Source organism: Homo sapiens, chromosome 18 (genome assembly GCF_000001405.40).
Source record: "Homo sapiens chromosome 18, GRCh38.p14 Primary Assembly".
NCBI lineage: Eukaryota > Metazoa > Chordata > Mammalia > Primates > Hominidae > Homo > Homo sapiens.
The window spans coordinates 61,521,459-61,547,610 of record NC_000018.10 but is presented as its reverse complement, the minus strand read 5'-3'; the positions used below and the strand labels follow the sequence as shown (position 1 = coordinate 61,547,610).

The following is a 26,152-nucleotide window of genomic DNA, read 5'->3' as shown; positions in this document are numbered from 1 at the left end:
GATGGGACAATAAGAATCAGAGGGATTAATAACTTCCTTAAAGCCTCACAGAATTATTGTAAATATCAAATAAGGTATGGGAAAATACTTTGAAACTGTAAAGTACTATATACACATAATTCTTTTCATAATGTTTTGGGGCTGAAAAGTAAAAAAAGGCTTTACTGGAGATAGTGCCCTGTTGTGTTCATAAAAGGACATCATGTTTCAGGCACAGGAACAGAGGTAGTTGACAGTAGATCTGCCCTATATTAGTCAGTTTTTGTTGTGGTGGCTTTTTTTAGAGACAGGATCTTACTCTGTCACCCAGTCTGGAGTACAGTGGTCTGATCATAGCTCACTGCAGCCTTGAACTCCTGGGCTCAAATGATCCTCCCACCTTAGCCTCCCAAGTAGCTGGGACTACAGGTGCATGCCACCATGTCTGGCTACTTAAAAAAAATTGTTAGGGATGGGGTCTTGGTGTGTTGCTCAGGCTGATCTCAAACTCCTGGCCTCAGGTGACCCTCCTGTCCCAGGCTCCCAACTAGCTGTGACTACAGGTGTGTGCCACCATGCCTGGCTAATTTTTAAAATATGTTTTTCAGAGATAGGGTCTTGCTGTGTTGCCCAGGCTGGTCTTGAACTCTTGGTATCAAGCAGTTCTCCTGCCTCAGCCTCCCAAAGTGTTGGAGTAACAGGCATGAGCCACTGTGCCTAGACTTGTTCAGTTTTAAAATGAGCCCCAGTAAAGGATACTCGTGAGATAAATTGTCATTTGGAGATTAAGAGTTCATGCTTTCTGTTGAAGATGTGCTGACTTCTGTTTTGGGAAACCTTCCAAGAGATGAGTCACGTCTTACTATAGTCATCCAGTGCCGGTGGCCCATCTTTTTAAGGAATTGGTTCCATAAATTGGTGCCCAAAGTCCTCTTTAAGAAATTTGCAGCATTTTGCTGCATTTTGTTTCACTCATTAGAATGATAGCTTAGCTGAACAGTTGAAGAAAAAATATAATGTGTTACAATGTGTTATTTTCCCTCCCCAGGGTTGCCTTTGTAAAGCCAATCCTAGGTTGAAAGCACTTTTTGCGGGAATAGTTTCCCTATGAAGCAGATAAATGAATAGTTCAAAATTTTGACCCAATAAAAACTTCAGGATATTTAATTGAAGTATTTCTGCCTTTATAATTCATATTACCATTCCTTCCAGAATTATTATAGTATTTTTATGGTGACATGTAGGAGGTTGAAGGGATGACTTAGAAGAATGCTTTGCCATTTAGAAGAAAACAGGTTTGAGAATCTCAAGTTTTACAGCAGAAAACTGTCATGTGGGGTTGAAGTAATACTTTTAATCTCAAATAATTGATGTTTGAAACTAAAACCAGGCGTGCCTAACCTAATCATGACTTTTTGTTACCCTTTGCTTAGATTTTTACAAAGCGGCAATTAATATTTTAGAATCGGAATGAAAATGACGCTACTGCAGTCTCAAGAAGTGATGACCTTCCCAGGGTCAGCTGGCTAGCTGGCAGCAGAGTTAACAACAGATGAGGTTCATTTGACAGTTTAACTTATTTTTTCCATTGCCCTGACCTTTTTTTTTCTTTTGAAGCAAATCATCTGGCTACAGAACAAAAGTCCTTCCTTTTCCCATCTGTGCCCAAAGAAGAGTGTGCTGGGTCTATGAGCCCCTTAGCTGGTCTGAATGCTTGTTGGAAAAAAGGGGCCTAGAATTCTGTTCCATCAAAGCTATAGCGGGGAGCAGTTTATGGATAGGGAACCCTACCTGAAAGTATTTCTCTAAATCATTCTAAAGTAATAAAGCTGTTTCAGTGCCAAAACTGTGTTTATGGTCCTGTATTTGCTCTTTGTTATCTCTATTATCCTTTGTCTCCTTATTGTTTGGAGAGCTTTTTACTGTTTCCTGCTTTGATCTCTGCCTAGAAATGTGCCCCCAGGGGTTTTTTATTTTATTGTATTTTATTTTTTATCCTAGATCACTTTCTATCTTTCTCAGATTTTTCCCGTTGTTACAGAACATATGAACAGGGCTGCTACCAGTGGGAATGAAGGATTTTGCCTCTGTGCTTTGCAGTGTTTCTGGCACGGGACAGGCACTCAGTAAACATCTGCCGACTTACTGACTGAATGAGTTTTAGAGTTGGCAAAGGGTTCTCTGTGTTTGTTGTTCTGAAACAAAACTTTAAAAGACACTGTGAGGCTGGGCACGGTGGCTCATGTCTGTAATACTAGCACTTTGGGAGGCTGAGATGGGAGGACTGCTTGAAGCCAAGAGTTCAAGACCAACCTGGCCAACATAGACCCCATCTCAAAAAAAAAAAAAAAAATACACTGAATTATTAACATCCTCCCTGCTGGTATGGAACAGGTAGCCTTTGACACTGTTTGCATAAGACAGTAACCCAAAGTAGCTGGCCTATGCTGTAGAAAAGCACAGATAGCCAACCATCCACCTGATTACCTTGGTTGTCCCTTATGGTAAAGTTGGGGTTGTTAGCAGCCTCAGGAGCCAAGCTGTAGTAGAAATGCTGACCATTGCGTGGGTCATCTTGGTCCACCGCACTCACTGTCTGGATCAGCTGAGGGAGGGACATGAAATCAGGTGAGTTGGAGCCAAAGGAAAAAGCACCAGGGCCCAGTTAAATCCCAAACCCGGAAACGCGATGGTGGGATGTTTTACCTTATGAGAAGGATATCATTGGTATGGGAGAGGGGCAGGGAAATGCTGGGTAGAGAAGGGCAGGGTTCCTGGTGAGGGCTCCATCCTCTGGCCTGTGCCCACGGATCTAAGTGAGAATAGGAACTCCTGTTTTTGGGCCCAAATGTTGCATTTTCCAAGACCACTCTGGCCCACCACGCCCCCCATTCTGTACCCATATGAACTTGAGACCTTAGCGGGCACAGACACAAGCAGCTGGATGTTGAGAGGAGAAGAGGAGCACACCAGCAGACACTGGCAGACTAGCGATGGTGGAATGATGCGGATGCCAAGGGAAGTTCAGCCCGGGACAGTTGGAGAAGAATCTGGCCACTGGGAAGCCCGAATCCGGGGGAAGATCACCTTCCCACTCCATCCCCCGCTTCTGGCTTCCCATCCATTTAACTAAGAACCACCTTCACCACTCAATAAACGTTGCACTCAGCCTTCCAGCCCATGTGTGATCTGATTTTTCCAGTTCACTGGGCAAGAACTCAGGCTGTCACACTGGCCCTGTGTCCTTGTGATAAGGCAGAGGGTCTATTGAGCTAATACAAGCCGTCTGCAGAAGGCGTAGCTGAGAGTGAGCACACTGTAACACACGCCCACTTGGGCTTCAGGAGTCCTAGACGCTGCCTTTGGGCCAGAGCCCAAAAGCGCTCCCCATGGCTTCTGCACCTGCCCGTCTGCATGCTTCCCCTAGGGGTTTGAGCAGCAGGGCACACCCCTGTTCTGCAAGGGGGATAAGGGAACTCTCCCGTTCCATGTGAAACTTCCCTGCACAGTCTCCATGCCATCACACACCTTGGGATTTAATTTTGCTTTAGGGTTGGGCTTGAGTATGTTAGTAGGCATAGGATAAATGTTACCTAAATACTTCAGATGTTAGACATCAAAATAACATATATTCTTCCACCACGGCCAGCCGTTTCTAGGCAGTCTAAAAAATAAGAGACTTTGAGTTAAAGGGCTCGGGTGCCACAAAGTCCTGCTTGACCCCATATTTTCTTCTCACCTCATCTACTTAACCTCATCACTGGCCCAATATTTCAGGGCTAAATTGCTGTCTTTAAGAAGCCCCTATTTAAGAATGACCATGACCTGAAGAGAAGTGAGTGACCCATTGGCATTGGCCATGTCAGGTTAACAGAAAACAGACATGAGGGAATGGGTCACAGAGAGTCACATTTTGTTGGCAGGAGGGAGAGCTAGCAAAGATAGCACAGGATCCCCAGAGTAGAAATGCAGAACAGACAAGAGTCAGAAGCAGAACTCTGGAGTGGGGAGAGCAGGAGGTCAGGTGGCTTCCTCTTGGACTCACTGGCCACGTTTTGCCTTTTCCATAATGTTTTTCAAAGGAGTAAGTTGCATGAAGTCTGTGGAGACCATGATGTAAAAGCTATTAAAGAAATCTGTGTGAAACAGACGACTGGAACAGGAGCTGGCAGGCTGAGGGGGTTACAGAAGAGGCATTGAACGGCAGCCTCCTTCATATGTGTTTCCTCTTCTACCAAGCAACAGCACAGACTATTCCTACCCATCTTGGGCCCAGCCCTGTAGACTTGCCAATCCTGCTGTTTAAAAGCCAGCTGTGCTTCTACCACCATAGGAACCAGGACATCAAAGGTCAGTTTGAGGTCCCAGCTGGGCTTGCTTAGTTTGTATTTCTTCATCTGTAAATTAGGGGAGCTAAAGCTAACTCTCACAATATGCTGAAGATTAAATAACTGGGGGTGGTGGTAGGGGGAGCTCCCATCGGGGCCTTTTGGACACTGTGTTGCTCAGATCCCCCTTCAATGAAGGATTTTTCCCCGTCACCTACCAGTCCCTTTAGGGATTGCCAATTGCAGAGAGCCACCTACCCACTCCTATGGTTTGCATATTTGACCCCACCAAATCTCATGTTGAAATCTGATCCCCATTGTTGGAGGTGGGGCCTGGTGGGAGGTGTTGGGGTCATCCAGGTGGATCCCTCATGAATGTTTTGGTGCAGTCGTCCTGGTGATGAGTTGAGTTCTTACTCTCTTTGTTCCTGTGATAGCTGATTGTTAAAAAGAGCCTGGCACCTTCCCCTCCTGCCTTGCTTCCTCTCACCATGTGATCTGCACATGTTGGCTTCCTTCCCCCTTCCTCCATGCATGGAAGCAGCTTGAGGCCCTCCCTAGATGCAGATGCTGGCACCATGCTTCTTGTACAGCCTGTAGAACCATGAGCCAAATGAACCTCTTTTCTTTATAAATTACCCAGCCTCAGGTAATCCTTTATAGCAATACAAACCGACTGAGACACCCATGGTCACCACATCCTTCCAGGGCGACATCCAGTGACTAATTAATGTGATAGTATACGGGTCTGGCTATCCCATCTCAACTTGGGGAAACTCTAGTTCTGGAACTCTCTGAGAAGTCAGCTAAGGCAGTTAGTCTGCATGGCAGCTGGACTTCTTTTGCCCAGTCCTGCTTCCTTCACTTCCCTCCCACAGGTGCTGGCCCCAAGGGCCCTCCTTAATAAACACCTTATACTGGAACTCCATCTCAGGGTATGCCTCCTGGAGACCCCAACTATTGAACCTGAAAGTAGGGGGAATGGAGTTCCCAGGAAGGTGAGGGCCAGGAGACTAATGGAGATAAACTTGCTCACAGCCAATCCTAGTATCAGTGCTGCTCACACTCCAGGATTACCCTCCTGTCCTATCCTGCCTGGAGACAGAGCCGGCACTTTTCAGCTTGCTTGTAGTGCCAAACACATAGAGAGGTAACATATTTCTTGAGGCATGTTACACATAGGTGATTCTACGTAATTTGATAAACATAGTTGGGAAAGTCGTTTCAGAATATCTGGCCTGCGTATTGTGTATATATTGGTGAGACTGGGGCCTGAGGCACAGAGCTGGTTGCTTACAGGGCTTTAAAGCATGAGTGAGTGAAGATACAAATCGCTAAGTCTGGGTTGGGAGCGCATGGCCCGCTCTCCTGCTCTCTGTTCTCCCAGCAGGTCAGATTTCTTCCTCAGCCCCACTTGTCGTGCAATATTCTGCTCAGCTGGTTTCATTCCGCCCTTGTCCATCACCAAGTATGTTATCTGATTTCTTTATGGGCTTCCTTCAAGGCTGCTTACTAAGAGGGAAGCATGTGTCTGGACTTGTCAGATGTGAAGCTGAGGACAGTATCCAACAAGTAAACACAAGGAGGCCCGATACTTTATAAACCAGATGTATCTCTGAGCTGTATGCTTTTGAAAAATCTTCAAAACATTTCCCAGAGCCCAAATCAAAGGTTAATATTTTCAGTATCTTGGCCTAAAGGTGACAAATGGGACAGACTGAACTTGAAGTGAAAGATCTGTACTTCAGATCACTGTATAACAAACTATTAAAAGATGCATTTAGAAATGGGGACTATGTTTGTTTGATTACAAAAACAGGAGAGATAGTTGAAATGTTCTTCACTTGTTAGAATGCAACCTCTCCTACTCTGAAGCCCTTTATTTTGGGGGGAAGGAGGTTTAATTTACTCTGCTACTTATCACCCTCTTTGTATTATAGATTAAAATTAGCTTATTTTATCATAACAAAATATTCATATAATTTTATAACAAGTTTATATTACATATATATAAATTTTATAATATAAAACAAAAATTATTAAAATAAAGACCCAAACCTCCTCACTTAAACTCAACTACCTTAGCACAGTAATTATACTATTTTTGCATCTTCCCTCTCGATCATTGTTCACTTGCAGTCATAATTTTACATGACTGCAAGCATGTAGGTGTAGTTTTTATACCTCCCTTCTTTACTTATAATAACATGGATCGTTTCTTGGGCTGTAAATTCTGCATTATAACTTTTATTGGCTGCATAACATTTCAGGTCTTAGTAGACTAGAAATTCACTAGATGTGGAAAGAGAATTATCCTAGACTTGTTGAAAAGAATCTTTTAGGAGGGCTATAGACCATTGCACCAAATTTCAAGGATTGTTAGATAAATTTAGATCAGAATCGTGATGGAACATCTTTCTTCCCCTGAGGGACATAAATCACTTTTTGCTTTGGCTGAGTAAATGGTAAAGATGTGTCGTCGAGTCCATCTTTGGTGAGTTCAGAGAGCTAACATAAGTTTTGGTTATGCAGACCTAGTCTCTCTGTGCAGCAAGATGCTGGAGGTACTACTCCCAGGGAGTGAGAGAAGTGAAGTGATATGGTTTGGCTGTGTCCCCACCCAAATCTCATCTTGAATTATAGCTCCCATAATTCCCACATGTTGTGGGAGGGACCTAATGGGAGATAATTGAATTGCGGGGGCAGTTTCCCCCATACTGTTTTCATGGTAGTGAATAAGTCTCACAAGATCTGATAGTTTTATAAGGGGTTTCCCTTTTCACTTGGCTCTTAGTCTGTCTTGCCTGCTGCCATGTAAGATGTGCCTTTCGCCTTCCACCGTGATTGTGAGGCCTCCCCAGCCACGTGGAACTGTGAGTCCATTAACCTTCTTTTTCTTTATAAATTACTCAGTCTTGGGTATGTCTTTATCAGCAGCATGAAAATGGACTAATACATGAAGGCAAAGTTAGATTACAGTCAGGGGCCAGAATTACCAATGCATGAGTCCCTGCCTTATCAATATGCGCTTCCCCAGCTTTCATGTTAAAACCATTCCAGCCCATTGATCCAGCACCAGCATCCACAGGACCACAGGATATACTGGGGTGGGGAAGGGCAGTAGATGAGGACTATTAGGGGATCTGTAGGGTTGCTGGGTCATACACAGGGGAGGAAAGCATCTTACAAAAGCAGGAGCAGAATGGAGGAGATGGACAGATTATAGGGCAGGCAACAGCCTGACATGCATTGCTACATGGGCACTCCAAATGGAGTTCCAGATGTTTCTTAATTACACCACTTAGAATTTGATCAACTAAATATTCAGTTAGGTTTAAGGGCATACTTAAAAAATACACAAATATGTCTCTGAAGATTATGGAGGTATATTTCAAATAAGTAGACCTTTATCCTTTTGGATTACTTTCCTCTCAAAACTTACCTGACATGAGCAGCACTAAGAAAATGGATGTTTTAATTGAGGAAGGAGAGAAGGTAGGTCATTCTAGGTGGCAGCATTCTGAGATAGGCCAGGGAGTCCCTAAATAAGGTACTTCTTGCCAGAAGTTAAGAAAGGGAGGTGGAAAGATATAGAAAATAAACTTGTCCTACTGCAAGATATTTTGAGGAATTGGTACCACACTCGGGAAAAGAGTAGCTTTTTCCTCCTTTTCCTGGTCTTCCTGGTCTCTCACTTCCAGGCCTCAGAGCAGGTGTTACTGCCATGGGTGCTACACAATTCAGTTTCCAGGTGGACACATACCTTATACGGCCATTGTGTGCATCTGGCCACCCTCAAAGTGCTGTTTAGGCCATAAAAGGTAATGTAGGTTCCAAATAGTTTTTTGTTTTTTCACTTTTTTAGAGATTGGGTCTCACGATGTTGCCCAGGCTGGTCTCAAACTCCTGGGCTCAAACTATCTTCCTGCCTCAGCCTCCAAAAATGCTAGGATTACAGGCATGAGCCACCACACCTAGCCTCAAATAGTTGTCTTAACAAATAAATGGTTGAAACCTGATATACGGGAATTAGGGACTCTGTTTTGTGAACTGTTCGTTTCTGGAGTCAAAATGGCTTTGATGGTGAATTTGGTTATCTAACAATTGTTTCCAGAAGTTAGGGGTTAAGCAGAGTGCACCACCCACAGGCCACCTTACCTGTCCTGCCTTGGCGTTCTCACAGACAAAAGCTTCATAGAATCTGGGGAACTCTGGAGCATTGTCATTCACATCTAAGACTTTGATTGTGACAGGAACACTTCCAACCTGGGAGGGATTGTCTAAAGGGAACACAAGGAAAACCAAATCTGAGAGTTTAGTAATGCCAAAAGAAAAAAAAGAGTAATGGTTTTTGCTAGAAGTCGGTATTTACGACTGGGCGCAGTGGCTCACGCCTGTAATCCCAGCACTTTGGGAGGCCGAGGCGGGAGGATCACGATGTCAGGAGATCGAGACCATCCTGGATAACATCCTGGATAACACGGAGTGAAACTCCATCTCTGCTAAAAATACAAAAAATTAGCCAGGCGTGGTGGCGGGCGCCTGTAGTCCCAGCTACTTGGGAGACTGAGGCAGGAGAATGGCGTGAACCCGGGAGGTGGAGCTTGCAGTGAGCAGAGATAGCACCACTGCAGTCCGGCCTGGGCAAAAGAGTAAGACTCCGTCTCAAAAAAAAAAACAAAACAAAAACAAAAACAAAAACAAAAACAAACAAACAAACAAAAAGTAGTTATTTACTTGGTGAGTCTGGATTTGAAAGGAGAGGATGAAGTACATGGAGATGGTAGCAAGAGCATAGGATCCATGTGTTGCCTACTAAGAGTGTGGCCGGACATGAGAAGTTTGGACAGAATAAGGTGTGTGTTGGTGAACCTTTGCTATCAGCAGTATGAAGGGAAGGGTGAGACAAAGGGAGCAAGTGTCAAAAAACGAATCTTAAAAAGAGGTTTTCAGTCTCCCATTTGGCTCAGACTTCAAGTCTTGGAATTAAAGGCAGGTCAGTTCTGTATTCTGGGCTTTAAAAGAGCCCATTGCCAATCGGATGCATACTGTGTGGCACTGCTTGGCTTTCTTCCTGTGGAATCATCAGTTCTTTGAATTACATTTGCAAAGGTTTCGAGTTATTCACTGGAATAAAGATAACACTGCACATTTATTTCTGCTTAGGGACTAACAGGATATTACAGGATCAAACACACACCAAATCCATATCTTTGGCTGGGGTCATAGACACTCATGGGGAGCTGTGTCTTTGTGATCTGTGTCTTTTGCTTGGCACTGCCATGCAGAGACAGTTTCACAGCTCTGGTAGTGCTCCTCCTGTCTTTTTCTGTTTTGGTCACCACCCCAAGGAGACAAAACAGAAATTGCGAGACACAGAAATTATTCTTGGTTAATAATTTTACTAAATCCCAAAATGCATTGTTCTTCTGAATCATATTTTTCTTCCTTTCTTTCCCAAAAAATTATGCTCTACTCTTTCCCCCCTAAATACTTCTATTGCTTGGTTACCATAATATGCTAGCAAAATTAAGATTTATTTCTTCATTATAACAGTGGTGTTTGTCTAAGGAATAATGAAAATTCCAGAAAAGCATAGATGAATCCATGAATATGATCCACAGTCCTACCACCAGAGATATCCATTAGATATATGACATTATACAACATGGGTGTCTAAAATTGGAGTTATACACCCTCCCCCTGACACAGAAGTTACATTTAAGCAAAATAGAAAGATTGAATTCAGAACATTAATATTTTAGGGTAAGGTTATCCTTTGTCATTGAATATGTTTTGAAAGCATCTGTATTATATTGTCATTTTACTATAGGTTGTACCATAATTTATTTAGTCTCCTATTATTAGACACTTAAGTAATTTCCATTTTCTCCTTATTTTAAAATAACATGGCAGTGGAAATTTTCACATTTAAATCTTTGTTGATATCTGTAATTATTTCCTTAATATGATGACTAGCAGTAGATTTCCTGAAAGAGTATAAATATTTTGGAGAATCTCAATACATATTGCCAAACTGCCCTCCTGAATGGCTGTTTAGTTATATAGCCAATAGGTTAGGGACTGCCATTTTTCTAAGCCTTTACTATCACCAGTATGGAAAAAAAAAGGAATGTAGTAGTACATAATCTAATTTTTATTATGTTTATAATATATATTAATGTAGTTATTAATCTTCCATTCCATTTATAAGTTTATTACGTTAATCAATTTGCCTTTTATTGTAAGGTATCTCAAATTCTTGTGGGCATGGATATGTATATGTTTGTATAATAAGAGTGATATGTTATAAATGCTTCCTTTCATACAGTAATATTTTATACTCTTTGTACATTCACAATCATATTAAAGATTGAAAGCCTGTTAGATTTCTCAGGAATCTTCCCTTTTCCTCATAGCTCCTTGGGATAAGAATGCTGTCTTTCACTGTTTTCCATGTTTTGTTTGCTTTTATCTCTAGCACAGGACTAAGTATACAAGCGAGCCTCAAAAAAGTATTTGAACTGAACGCATTTACTTACTTGCATAAAGCATGATTTCCATTTCTTCCCTTAAAGGATATAATTTTTGTTACAACAAGTTCTAGAAACTTCCACTTTCTATAACACCTATATTTTGTCACTGCATGGAGACCAACTTACTGTGCTACTTACTCATTTCCATAGCAAGGACAGTGATATTATGCCAAGAAAATTCTTCCCGGTCTAGGGGTCTTGCTGTCATTAGGGCACCTGTTGTAATGTCAACATAGAAAAATCTTCCAGGGTCACTGCTTCTATCAATGGAGTATCTGCAGAAACATGGATTACGTACATCATTTGCATTTGGGTAAGCATATGACAGCATACCACATGAGACAACTGAGTGCCTACCATATGAAACATGGTTCCACCACTTCTGAGTTATGGCTACTGGAAGACTGCATTCGTGGTTTTATTTGTTCAGAAACAAAAGTCACCTCCTCCTCCAATAAACAAAACAAATATTGCTTCAATTTTCTCATTCAAAAAATGAAATAAACAGGGTGCCGACAGTCTTGGGGAAGTTGTAAGCTATTTAAATATGGTTTATGCTACGTAATGCTTGGAATTACCCCAAGAATTTTGGGACATCCTGAGTATCGAGTCCTGTATATATTTGTTTAAAAAGAATTGTATTCAAATGAGTTCTCAAATGCTAATCTGAAACTAGAAAAGGAGAAAAGGTGTAGTTTAGTGGTTCCAGTCCTTATAATTTGTATCAACTATTGAGAAAAGAAGCCTTGTACCAGGCCCTTTCTTAACATGCTAATGACCCACCTTCTGGCAAATACAATAATGGTAATGTATTTGCTAGCTGGAGAGTCCTTAACTGTGGTATGCTTTTAGCAGGATGGACCGGATCTGGCTAGGTTGTTTACTGTAAATAAACCTAGAGTTTATAAATTTGTGGGGTACAGCCTACTGGAAAATGTCATATAAGCTATGTAATTAATGATGTATAACAAGCAAATGTTCCATCACAAAAATGGATCTTTGCGTTCGAGCAATGCACTTCGTCCATTGCTTCTACTTTTCATGTTCAGTCTGGACCAACATGCATCTTTATGCAAGAAAAGGACATTTATAGGCACCTGTGCCTGACAGTTTCAGAGCTCTCCAAGGGGAGAATGACTCATGTTTTGCTGTTGTCTGTATCATTTGAGCCATTAGTTAACTAGCTCCTGGGTAGGATCTATATTTCCTGTTGAACCTGATTTGGCAATCCAATTCTGTTGTGTTATCTCACCTGTGTTATCTCGTCTGGTCCCCATCTTGGAAGACTCAATAAATATGGATGGAGGCTCAGGCATGTGGATGTTAAAAACCCTCCATAAGGGATTTTGATATGTAGCCATGATTGAGAACCATCAATGAGAACCTTATGTAGTCCTTGGTAAAGGCCAAGTAATTTTTATCATTTTTATTTTTTAATTCTTTTTTTTTTCTGAGGTGGAGTCTTGCTGTCTTGCCCAGGCTGGAGTGCAGTGGCATGATGTCAGCTCACTGTAGCCTCTGCCTCCTGGGTTCAAGTGATTCTCCTGCCGCAGCCTCCCAAGTAACTGGGATTACAGGTGCCTGCCACCATCCCTGGCTGATTTTTATATTTTTAGTAGAGACAAGGTTTTGCCACGTTGGCCAGTCGGGTCTCAAACTCCTGACCTCAAGTGATCCACCTGCCTCAGCCTCCCAAAGTGCCGGGATTACAGGTGTGAGCCACCGTGTCCAGCCATTTTTATTTTTTTAATTGACAAGTAATAATTATATATATTTATGGCGTACAATGTGGTATTTAGATATATGTATACATCATAGAATGATCAAATCAGGCTAATTAACATGTCTATTACCTCACATATGTATTTGTTTTTTGCAATGATACCATTTAAAATCTATTCTTTTAGCTATTTTGAAATATACAATACATTATTATGAACTACAGTTACCATGCTGTGCAATAGATCACAGGAACTTACTACCCCTTACTGAAGCTTTGAACTTTTTGATTCTTTTTCCTTTTTACCCACCAGCCTCTGGCAATCACTATTGTACTCTCTACTTCTATGAGTTTGACTTTCTTACATTCTACATATAACTGAGATCATGTGGTATTTGTCTTTCTGTGCTTGGCTAATTTAGCATAATGTCGTCTAGATTCATCCATGTTGCAAATGACAGAATTTCTTTCTTTTCTAAAGCTGTATTGAATATTTAAGGCTGAAACGAATATTCCATTGTGTATGTATGCCACATTATTTTTACCCATTCATCTGTTGATGGGCACTAAGGTTGTTTCTGTATCTTGGCTATTGTGAATAATGCTGCAGTGAATATGAAAGTAGAGACATTCTTTGACATATTAATTCCAGTTCCTTTGGATATATACCCAGAAATGGGATTGTTGGATCATATGGTAATTCTCTTTTTAGTTTTTTGAGGAACCTCCATACTGTTTTCTACAATGGCTGTACTAACATTCTCATCAACGGTGTGCAAGGGTTCCCTTTTTCTACACACCCCAGCCAACACTTACGTTTCATGTTTTTGACAACAGACGTTCTAACGTTGTGAGGTGATATCTCATTGTGGTTTTAATTAGCATTTTCCTGATGATTAGGGATGTTGAGCATTTTTTCATGTATGTTGGTCATTTGTATGTCTTCTTTTGAGAAATGTCTGTTTAGGCATTTTGCACATTTTTTTTAACAGGGTCATTTGTCCTAATTTTGAAATAATATTACAAAGCTATAGTAATTATAACAGCTGGAATTAAAACAGACACATCAACCAACTAAATAGGATAGAGAGCTGAGAAAAAAACTCATGGGTCTACAGTGAATTAACTGATTTTTGACAAAGATTCCAAGAACACATAATGGGGAAAGGACAGTCTCTCCAATATAGTGTTGAGAAAACTAGATACCCACATGCAGAAGAATGGAAATGGACCCTTATCTGACCCCTTATACAAGAATCAACTTAAAATGGATTAAAGACTTAAATGTTAAGACCTGAAACCATCAAACTACTAGAAGAAACCTTAGGGGAAAAGCTCCACAATGTTGGTCTGGGCAATGATTTCTTGGATATGACCCCAAAAGCACATGCAAAAGCAAAAATAGATGAATGGGATTGTATCAAACTAAAAACTTCTGCACAACAAAGGAAACAACAGAGTGAAGAGACAACCCACAGATTGGGAGAAAATATTCTTTTCATAAAATAAGGGGCTAATATCCAAAATATATAAATAACTCAATAACAAGAAAACAATCCTGTTTTTAAAAGACCAGTAATTACAATAGCTGCCATTTGCTGAATATCAGGCACTTTACTATGTACTTAATACACAGCTTCTTTTAAAATTTTTCCAACATCTCTGGGAGGTAGTTATTATCCCAATCAACAGATAAGGAAACTGAGGCTTAAATAAGTCACTTTTTTTTCTTTCTTTAGAAATGGGTTCTCTTTCTGTCATCCAGGCTGGAGTGGTGCAGTGGCATGACCAAACTCACTGCAGCCTCAAACTCCTCGGCTCCAGTGATCCTTCCGCCTCAGCCTCCTGAGTAGTTGGAACTAGAGGCAGGTACCACCCCACCTGGATAATTAAATTTTTTTTATTTTTTATTTTAAAAGACAAAGTCTTTTAAACAGCCTGTGTTGCCCAGGCTGGCCTCAAACTCCTCAAACTCCTACCCTCAAGTGATTTTCCTGCCTCAATCTCCCAAGTAGTGGGGATTACAGGCATAAGCCACTGCAACTAGCTGAAGTCACTTTTATGCAATTACACAGGTAATAATTTAAGAGGTAAGACTTGAAGCCATCTTTATGGAGTTATAACTACTGTGTTTGATTTGAAGCTATATATACAAAATTATAACTACTATGTTCTTAAAAATTATTTAAATAGGGACTGGGAAATATATTGGGTTCAAAATTTGATTTAAAGTTGCCAGCAACTGTAATCCATATCTTAACGTTGTAGAGACGGAGAAGCAGCAATTTTGGAGGGAATAAACATTTTCTTTACTATAGTGCATTGTTTTTCAGATGTAGCTTAGTGGATTGTGAAATCAATTTGGTGGGTTATGATTAGCATAGAAAGAAAATGAAATAGAATAGAATATATGCATGCCAAACTATCACATGCAGTAAGGGTAAATATTGATGTAAAGCTTTTGTTTTTTATATATATGTGTGTGTGTGTGTATATATATATATATATATATATACATACAATACACACATGTATACAGTTGTGCATATATATCGTTGGTAAAATGTATTGTATCAAATACAATGTATATTTTTTTTCTGCAGAGATTCAGGATGGCTATTTAGGAATTAGGAATTAAAGAGAAAGCTGATGAGTAAGAGCTAGAGAAATCAGAATCATTTAAGTTATGACTCCCTAAGAGTTAGGAAATTTAAGGAAGAAAATTAATGTTTCTCTCTGCCTGTGACCCTATTTAATGAACATTCACTGTAAGCCAGGCACTGCTCAGCACACATCACCTATATGGACTCATTTAATCTTTACAATAACACCATGAGGTAGGCACAATTATGATCCTTATTTTACAGGTAAGAAGTCTGAGGAGTAGACAGGTTAGGTCCCTTGCCCAAGGTCACATTGCTGGGAATCAAGCCCAGGCAGTCTGGCTGCAGGTTCTGCTCCCAGCCACCAGGCCATGCTGCCTTATTGACACATAGTCTATAAGAGATTGTCTAAGGAAACAAGACTTTATCTTTTAAAGATACGAGTATTAGTCCGTTCTCACACTGCTAATAAAGACATACCCAAGACAGGGTATTTATAGGGAAAGAGGTTTGTTTGACTCACAGTTCAGCATGGCTGGGAAGGCCTCAGCACACTTACAATCGTAGTGGAAAGGGACGCAAACATGTCCTTCACATGGTGGTAGGAGAGAGAATAAGTGCCAAGGGAAGGGGGAAGCCCCTTTTAAAACCATCAGATCTCGTGAGAACTCACTCACTATCATGAGAACAGCATGGGGGAAACCACCCCCATGATTCAGTTATCTCTACCTGGTCCCGCCCTTGACACATGGAGATTATTACAATTCAAGGTGAGATTTGGGTGGGGACACAGAGCCAGATCACATCAGAGTGACAGCGAATAGTTGCCTTTTTAATAAAGAAAAACACATGCTTCAGAGTTCATTTAAAATGGACTAGATTATTACTTTTTAAGCATAAATTGTTATTTACTTTTAAAGTTTACTATTTTCAGAATTGAATTTTCTCTAATATAAAATAAAAAAACACCGATTGGCTCATGACAGTCTTCTCTTTCAGCTCCTGACACATGCAGAGAGCCAGCCATGTGGTCCACGGAGCCATGTCCCTGATGGCAGCTCTCCAGGCTGCAGGCATGATGCCAAGGGGAGAGGCAGCCTATGAGAAAGCAGCTTTCTATACTCAGACCTACGGCAATATAGTGAATGTCGCATGGGAGAGGGAGTGATAGAAATAACTAACCCACAGGACCCCTGACAGCATTGCCGGGCTGACACACCAGGAGCCTTCCTCAGAGAAGCCTCCCTCATCGAGGGGAATCCCTCTCTGATTTCCCCAATGGGGCCAGAATTGAGGGAATAATAGCCTTTGTTTCCCTGAATAGGATGCTGGGTTAATTTTCAGGAGGCAGGAGAAAAATTAAAGGTGTAGATACAGATGGAAAACGAGGAAATTGGGACACACTCGTGAATTATGTAGGTGGTTTTCTTTTCTTAACCATTACATTCTAACCTCCTATGAGCAGAATCGGCATCATGCAGGTACAAAGCTGCCCAGAGCCAGCAGTAGCTGGTGCTTTCCGGACTCCCTGCTTGTCACTTAGCTGAGGACATCCTCTGAATTTGGGAGCAATTTGGAGGTGGGGTGTCAGGAGCAGGCTGGTTAAATCCACACACATTCTGGGAAGGAACTGGGGGGCAGGCAGTTTCCACATCAGCAGAAGCCTCTTTCAGTTGCCAAATGGCTCAGTATCCTGCCTGCCAAAAAGTCCTTGAGCATGTATTAAAAATTCAGGGGATCCAAACATTGTCTTTTCATGTAAATATCACTAAATCTGGTGATTTTGTTTTGGGGATTATAAATAAGTGAGGACCAGCATATATTCCTGAACACACCATCAACTTTCTAGAAAGGAGATTATAAAAGTCCTAATAATTTGTTAAATGGCCTTTTATCTGTAACATTTTAACTTCCGGTGATGTGTTGATTTTTTGAATTATTTGATAGATATTTTCTCTTTAAGAATATAAATCTCATTTGTTCTTTGTAACAAAAATGCAGATGATGAATTAGCCATGCAGCATATAACTATACACATTATTTTAAAAGAAAGTAACTTTAATATGAAAAATAAGGATAAGAAGAGCAGTTTGGTGAAAGATAACAGAAGAAAGGAATTCCCAAATGGGTTTTGAAATGAGAGCCAGGGAGTTCATTGAGTTTTAAGTGCTTTTCCCTCTGAGAGTCTAGGACCCCCAGTGTTCTTCTTGGGTCCAGGGACCATTCTTTGTTGCTATTGGATAGTACAAAGAGTCAGGGACCTCATACCTAGCAATAAGAATTCCTCTCTTTCTTTGTAACCAAAATGCAGAGGGAGAATTATCCCCAGATCTGATCATTGGAATTTCACGTTGCCCCCTGTGCCTGAGCCGTGTCTTATTACCTCTGGCCTTGTGGCCTTGTTCTCACCAATTTTCATCTCAGGATCTGCAGTCCTGCCCCAGAACAGCCCAGTGGACCCTGCCCTGTGCCTCTGGCCTGTTCACTCTTGCATTCATCCTGCCTGGGTTCTAGTGGGGTAGCCAGACACTCCAATATGAACCTCCCTGATGCTAACGGATGTGCTGGCCAACTGATAGTTTTCAATTGGTCATCATCTGAAGCAGCATTTTCTGTTAGCCAGACAAGATTTCTTCATTTTGTCTACCTCATTTTACTTCATGCCAGTGGTGAAAGTTTTATTCTTTAAAGTTTCTCTCATAGGGTCTTTTGTTACAGGAATAGATTAATTAGCCTATGGTGGATTAATACATATATAATTAATAAATTAGGATCAGAAGGTATATATTCTTGGCTTCTGAAAATACACACAATGTTTTGTTTTCATTGTGATTGCTTTGGGGATAATATGGTTGACTAATCTCTCCCCATCCTAGTTTATATTTAAAAAGCTTCAGGTTGAAATACAACATCTATAAAGTTGTTATATAATACATTAGTTGCCTTTGAAAAAATCAAATATCAGAATTCAAATAAAATCGTTTTTGCCATTTTAATGCCTGAACATGTAAAATGTTTACTGGTTGGTTAGAGGAAGTGAATTTGCCCCTAGTATGGTTATTCTCTGGAGAAAGCCGTTCTTGTTAAACTACAGAAGCACGTTTTCATTAAATACAAAACAGCACTAGGTGAGAGAAGCAGCCAGCTGACGGAAAAGGCATTTGATAAAGTGCGGTATGTTTAAAATGTGTTATCTGCACTAAAGCCCCAGATTCATTTTACTGTGTGGCTTTCAACAATTAATGTGACAGATGGCTTCCGACATCCTTGGAATTCTGATCTTTTGTGTCACGCTTCATAGGTTTGGCAGCTGCTCTGGAAGGTTGTGGTGTCAACCTGTCCATCAACTATTTGCACTTTGGTTCCAGTTGGTGAGAGATGGCCATGACTGTAAGAGCAGTTCTCATCTTCTTGAGCGGAAGCATCTTGGTTGGAATCTTTAATTCCAAAACATGCTTTGGAGAGATAGATACTTGGTATTGCCATACAAAGACCCATCTGTCTGGCCAGTCTACAAGGCATTGAAGTTGCTGACAACAGAAGTAGTTTCTATGTCTGCTCTTTCTATAGTATGTGGAATATATGTAGTATATATTGTTTTCCCCAGTTTTAAAAAGTAAAACATGTCAAAGATTCATAAAAGATGGAAGAATACATGATGATTTCCTTTATGTTTACCACTGAGAGTCAATGGATTTTAACATTTTGACATCTGTGTGTCTGATTATACTTTATCTGAATCAGTAGCTCTCAACCTGGGGTGATTTTACACCACTTCCCTGGACATTTGGCAATATCTGGGGACATTTTAGGTGGTTACAACTCAGAGAGTGCTACTGCATTTCGTGCGTAAAGGCCAGAGATGCTGCTAAACATGGTTCAGTGCACAGGAGAACCCCTCCACAACAACACAGAATTACCCACCCCCAAATGTCAACAGGACCATGATTGAGAACTAAGGGGTGTGTGTGTGTGTGTGTGTGTGTGTGTGTGTGTGTCTCAACCAATTGAAAGTGAGTTATAAATATAATGACACTTCTAAACAACCTGGCAAGGCCATGTTATTTAAGGGAAAAAAAAAAAAACAACACAAAAAACTCAAAGAGGAGAGTCTCCAGAAATGGGATAGAGAAGAAAGAAACAAAGGGAAAAGTGCTAGAAAATTACATACAAGGGAAGGGAAGATTCCAGCATATAAGGAAAAGGTGAAATCTGTGGAAAAACCTGATTGAGTTGTTGGTCACATCTGGGTCCTTGGCAGAAATGATCTGTATGGTTGTTCCAATCGCCACATCCTCAGGCACCTCCACAAAGTAAAAGCCAGGTTCAAACACAGGGGGCTCGTCCACGTCTTCCACACTGATGTGCACTGTTGTTGTGTCCTGAAATGGGCCCAAGTTCAGAAAACGCATCTCTAGGTGAGGATTGGCTCCCTCCACCTTTAAGGTGTAGCTTTTCTTGCTTTCAAAACTCAGGGGCTGAAAAGCAATGACAGGAAAATTGATTCGCCACTGAGGTTCAAGATTCAAAATATGTCAACGTTCAAAAGGATGCCCAATATTGATGGCTGGTGGGAAGATTCTCCAATTCATTAAGTGGGAAAAAGGTAAACGGGAAAGAAGGGAAATCTTTGTCTTGTTCTGTAGTTCTTGGTCTTAATGTCAGTTTCAACACTTTGGGTAAAGAAGATAAGATATCAGTCACTGCAGAGATAGTTAAGGAAGCCAGTTTGATAATAGTTTGCCCGTTTATTCTGGGCAAACTTGGCTTTAACTTGTCTACCCTTCAATCAGCCTGGTCTTTAGAGAGATCCCAGGAATCCCCTCACTCCTGGGCCCAATTTGCCTGGTACTGTCTCAGTTCTAAAATCAAAAGTTTCATTTCCTAGGACTCTATTCTGTCCCAGGCAAACCAGGACGGTTGGTCACATTATCTTTAGAGGTGCTTGCTCATTTGAAAAGACTTCACAACAATTAAGAGCAAGTTTGTATTCCAAACACAAACTTCCATATATATTCCATATATCTATTCTATCTATCTATCTATCTATCTATCTATCTATCTATCTATCTATCTATTAGAATATTCATGCAACTGAGGCCTAGGCTTTTTTTTTTTCCTTAAAAAATTATTCTTGAGTACAAAGGCAATATTGATTCTTTTCAAGAAACTGTGCCACACAAGGTTCTCAGGTGCTGTGTCAGATCAATGTTTGTATATTTAGTTCATCATGCACAATCCCTTTTATTGTTACTATTATTTTTTGAGATGGAGTCTCGCTCTGTCACCCAGGCTAGAATGCAACAGTGTGATCTCAGCTCATTGCAACCTCCACCTCCCAAGTTAAAGCGATTCTTCTGCCTCAGCCTCCTAAGTAGCTGGGATTACAGGCATGTGCCACCATGCCTGCCTAATTTTGCATTTTTAGTAGAGACAGGGTTTCACCATGTTGGTCAGGCTGGTCTTGAACTCGTGATCTCAGATGATCCACCCACCTCAACCTTCCAAAGTGCTGGGATTACAGGCATAAGCCACCACACCCTGCTGACAATCCCCTTTAAAACCCTTATTTGACCTTTTAGAGTTGAAGAACCCAAGATGCAGGAAGCTCAGAAGCCTGGAGTATGCTGACGTGGTTACAGCTCTTCCACAAGGACTTTAATTTTGTCTATAAAATTCCATCGCGTAAAATACAATTTTTTTGGTTGTTCTCTATTTTGATTTATTCCTATCTTCAGAATTTTTTTTTTCAAAATAAATACAGTGCTCCAGGGCAGAACGTGAACTTAAAATGCTATTTCTGAAGACTAATCTATTGTTGTTTAAAGCTGATGAACATGTGTGTTTTAAGCAACAAGTATTTCAGAACATCTCGGAATGTTAAGTCCCACAAAATAAAAGTGGATAGCAAAGCAGTTACTAGAACTTAAAAGTTGTGTGTCAACATAGCAATAACTTACATTTTTCTAGCTAAACATCACTTTTTTCATAAAATATGTTGAATGGCAGCACATTTCATGTTAGAGAGAGGCATGTACCCATTTAAACAACTGCTTGGCTTTTCAGAAAAAAATATCGGTAGGTGCTGCTTTAACTAGATTTGTTATTTTCTTACTTAAAAAAAATCGTCTCTACTAAAAATACAAAAATTAGCTGGGTGTGGTGGCACATGCCTGTAATCCCAGCTACTCGGGAGGCTGAGGCAGGAGAATCACTTGAACCCGGGAGGTGGAGGTTGCGGTGAGCCGAGATCAAGCCATTGCACTCCAGCCTGGGCAATAAGAGTGAAACTCTGTCTCAAAAAAAAAAAAAAAAAAAAAAAAGTCAACTTTTTGGCCAGGAGCAGTGGTTCATGCCTGTAAGCCTGACAATGTAGGAAGCTGAGGTGGGAGAATCGCTTGAGGCCAAGATTTCAAGACCAGCCAAGACAACCTAATGAGACCTACATCGCTACCAAAAAAAAAAAAAAAAAAAAAAAAATTAGCTGGGTGTGGTGGCATGTGCCTGTAATCCCAGCTACTTGGGAGGCAGAGGCAGGAGGATGGTTTGAGCTCAGTTTAGAGTGAGCTATGATGGCACCACTGCACCGTAGCCTGAGTGACGGAGACACCTTGTCTCAAAAAAATTACATTAAAAATGGATACATAATAGATGTACATATTTTCAGGGTACATGTAATAATTTAATGCATTCATATAATTGTTATTTTCAAATTTTAATAAAGTTTTTTTTGTTTTGTTGCTGTTGTTGGGTTACTGCTTGTTTACCATTTACTTAGTAGCAGACATAGTGCTTCCCGTTTCATGAGTCGCCAGCCATTTCCATCCAAACCAAGAAGCCCCATTCAAACCCAGACGCCCATCTCCACCAGCCAGCCTGCCTCCCTAGTTGTCATTGAAAAGGCAAGGTTTTCATAAACAGGGAAATCTGCCAGTCAGATTAATGATATATTTGAAGGACTATTTTACCAATTCATTTAATGCTTGCTCCCTAAATCGAAACATTTTTCTTTCCTGGTAAATTACATTTATACGCTCTTAAAATTCTTTATGTATTTGTAACACAGTTGTGGACACCGTTGTTTGTGTTAGGTTTGAGCTAGGCAAAACTTGTTTTCCCTTTAATTTTAAATTGTTTTTCTAATTTTGTGTGAAATTTGTATGTTTTAAAAAATAAGATATTTACATACATTTATATATTTACATACATTAAAATTTCTTTTTTAGTATAAAGTTGGCAGGTTTTGACTAGTGTATTCAGTCATGTGTCTACCGTGATAATCAAGCTATAGAGCTGTTTCAAAACCCCCGTGACCCTCTCTGTGCCCCTTTGTAGTCAACCTCTCCCCTCCCACCCAGCCCCTGGCAAACACTGATTCATGTATGTTCTGTCTCTATTGCAAGAATGTCATATAATGTCAGATAAACTACATTCAGTATGTAATCTTTTGAGTTAGGGTTCTTTCACTTAGCATGATGCATTTGAGATTCATCCATGTTGCATGAATGAGGAGTTTTTTTTTTTTAGACAGCGTCTCACTCTGTTACCCAGGCTGGAGTGCAGCGGCATAATCTGGGCTCACTGCAACGTCTGCCTCCCGGGTTCAGGCGACTCTTCTGCCTCAGCCTCCCAAGTAGCTGGGACTACACGTGTGTGCCACCACGCCTGGCTAATTTTTGTATTTTCAGTAGAGGCGGGGTTTCACCATGTGGGCCAGGCTGGTCTTGAACTCTTGACCTCAGGTGATAGGCCCACCTCGGCCTTGGCCTCCCAAAGTGCTGGGATTACTGGCGTGAGCTACTATGCCTGGTGAGTTTGTTCTTTTTTTATTTCCACGTAGTATTCTGTTGTATGGATGCACAACAGTTGATTTATCCATTCTTCACTAGAGATACATTTGTGTTTTTTTCCAATTTCTGACGGTTATGAGTAAACCTATTAATATTTACATAGAGGTTTTTGTGTGAGCATAAAATTTCATTTCAGTGGGGTAAATACCTAGGACTGGAGTTGTGGGATTGTATAGTAAATATATTTTTAACTTTATAAGAAACTTCCAAATGAATTTTCAGAAAGGCAGTACCAGTTTGTATTCCCACCAGGAGTATATGAAAGCTCTAGTCACCCCACATCTTTGTCAGCCCTTGGTTTTGCCAGTGTTAAAATTTTTATCTATCCTAGTGTGCGTTAAGTGGTATCTCATTGTAGTTCTGATTGGCACTTCCTTACTGCCTCGTGATGCATCTTTCTATGTCTTCTTGAGGAGGTCTTTGTATATTTTATATTCAAGTCCATTGTCAGATGTATGATTTGCAAATATTTTCTCCTAGTCTGTGATTTGTCTTTTCATTCTCTTAACAGTGTCCTTTATTATTATTATTATTATTATACTTTAAATCCTGGGATACATGTGCAGAACGTGCAGGTTTGTTACATAGGTATACCTGTGCCATGGTGGTTTGCTGCACCTATCAACTCGTCATCTACATTAGGTATTTCTCCTAATGCTATCCCTCCCCTAGCCCCCGACCCCTGACAGGCCCTGGTGCGTGATATTCCCCTCCCTGTGTCCATGTGTTCTCATTGTTCACTTCCCACTTATGAGTGAGAACATGCAGTGTTTAGTTTTCTGTCCATGTGTTAGCTTGCTGAGAATGGTGGTTTCATCCATGTCCCTGAAAAGGACATGAACTCCTCCTTTTTTATGGCTGCATAGTATTCCGTATTGTATATGTGCCACATTTTCTTTATCCAGTCTGTCATTGATGGGCATTTGGGTTGGTTCCAAGTCTTTGCTATTGTGAACAGTGCTGTAATAAACATACGTGTGCATGTGTCTTTATAGTAGAAAGTTTTATAATCCTTTGGGTATATACCCAGTAATGGGATTGCTGGGTCATATGGTATTTCTGGTTCTAGATCCTTGAGGAATCACCACATTGTCTTCCACAATGGTTGAATTAATTTACACTCCCACCAACAGTGTAAAAAAGCATTCCTATTTCTCCACATCCTCTCCTGCATCTGTTGTTTCCTGACTTTTTTAATGATCACCATTCTAACTGGCATAAGATGGTATCTCAATATAGTTCTGATTTGCATTTCTCTAATGACCAGTGATGATGAGCTATTTTTCATGTTTGTTGGCTGCATAAATGTCTTCTTTTGAGAAGTGTCTGTTCATATCCTTTGCCCGCTTTTTGATGTGGTTGTTTGTTTTTTTTTTTCTTGTAAATTTGTTTAAGTTCCTTGTAGATTCTGGATATTAGACCTTTGTCAGATGGATAGATTGCAAAAATTTTCTCCCATTATGTAGGTTGCCTGTTGAATTTGATGATAGTTTCTTTTGCTGTGCAGAAGCTCTTTAGTTTAATTCAATCCCATTTGTCAATTTTGGCTTTTGTTGCCATTGCTTTTGGTGTTTTAGTCAAAGCCTTTGCCCATGCCTATGTCCTGAATGGTATTGCCTAAGTTTTCTTCTAGGGTTTTTATGGTTTTAGGTCTTATGTTTAAGTTTTTAATCCATCTTGAGTTAATGTTTGTATAAGGCATAAGGAAGGGGTCCAGTTTCAGTTTTCTGCATATGGCTAGCCAGTTTTCCCAACATCATTTATTAACTAGGAAATCCTTTCCCCATTGATTGTTTTTGTCAGGTTTGTCAAAGATCAGATGGTTGTAGGTGTGTGGCATTACTTCTGAGGCTTCTGTTCTGTTCCATTGGTCTATATATCTGTTTTGGTACCAGTACCATGCTTTTTTGGTTACTGTAGTCTTGTACTATAGTTTGAAGTCAGGTACTGTGATGCCTCCAGCTTTGTTATTTTTGCTTAGGATTGTCTTGGCTATACAGACTCTTTTTTGGATCCATATGAAATTCAAAGAAGTTTTTTCTAATTCTGTGAAGAAGTCAGTGGTAGCTTAATGAGGATAGCATTGAATCTATAAATTACTTTGGGCAGTATGGCCATTTTCACGATATTGCGTGTTCCTATCCATGAGCATGGAATGTTTTTTCATTTGTTTGTGTCCTCTCTTATTTCCTTGAGCAGTGGTTTGCAGTTCTCCTTGAAGAGGTCCTTCACATCACTTGTAAGTTTGATTCCTAGATATTTTATTCTCTTTGTGGCAATTGTGAATGAGAGTTCACTCATGATTTGGCTCTCTATCTATTATTGGTGTATAGGAATTCTTGTGATTTTTGCACATTGATTTTGTATCCTGAGACTTTGCTATAGTTGCTTATCAGCTTAAGGAGATTTTGGGCTGAGATGATGGGGTTTTCTAAATATACAATCATGTCATCTGCAAACAAAGACAATTTGACTTCCTCTTTTCCAATTCAAATACCCTTTATTTCTTTATCTTGCCCAATTGCCCTGGCCAAAACTTCCAATACTGTGTTGAATAGGAGTGGTGAGTAAGGGCATCCTTGTCGTGGGCCAGTTTTCAAAGGGAATGCTTCCAGCTTTTGCCCAATCAGTATAATATTGGCTGTGGGTTTGTCATAAATAGCTTTTATTAGAGATACATTCCATCAATACCTAGTTTATTTAGAGTTTTTAGCATGAAGGGGTATTGAATTTTATTGAAGGGCTTTTCTGCACTATTGAGATAATCATGTGGTTTTTGTCATTGGTTCTGTTTATGTGATGGATTACATTTATTGATTTGCATATGTTGAACCAGCCTTGCATCCCAGAGATGAAGCCAACTTGATCGTGGTGGATAATCTTTTTGATGTGCTGCTGGATTCAGTTTGCCAGTATGTTATTGAGGATTTTCACATCGATGTTCATCAGGGATATTGGCCTGAAATTTTCTTTTTTTGTTGTGTCTCTGCCAGGTTTTGGTATCAGGATGATCCTGGCCTCATAAAATGAGTTAGGGTGGAGTTCCTCTTTTTGTACTGTTTGGAATAGTTTCAGAAGGAATGCTACCAGCTCCTCATTGTACCTCTGGTAGAATTCGGCTGTGAATCTGTATCAT

At 40.4% G+C, this 26,152-nt stretch overlaps 1 protein-coding gene across 4 annotated transcripts in view; it reads right to left on the bottom strand.

The window, feature by feature from the left end:
• Positions 1-26,152, bottom strand: part of CDH20 (cadherin 20) — a 222,350-nt gene that overhangs the window by 8,169 nt on the left and 188,029 nt on the right. For 2 of the 4 annotated variants that reach the window (NM_031891.4, XM_024451165.2), the window contains exons 7-10: positions 19,391-19,644; positions 10,982-11,118; positions 8,466-8,587; positions 2,467-2,584 (exon numbers count right to left, since the gene is read on the bottom strand). In NM_031891.4, coding sequence (NP_114097.2) covers positions 2,467-2,584; positions 8,466-8,587; positions 10,982-11,118; positions 19,391-19,644 — 631 coding nt within the window. Of the gene's footprint in view, positions 1-2,466; positions 2,585-2,685; positions 2,792-3,572; positions 3,644-8,465; positions 8,588-10,981; positions 11,119-19,390; positions 19,645-26,152 lie in introns of those variants that run through there. The other 2 variants (XR_001753187.2, XR_001753186.2) reach the window with 2 other exon arrangements.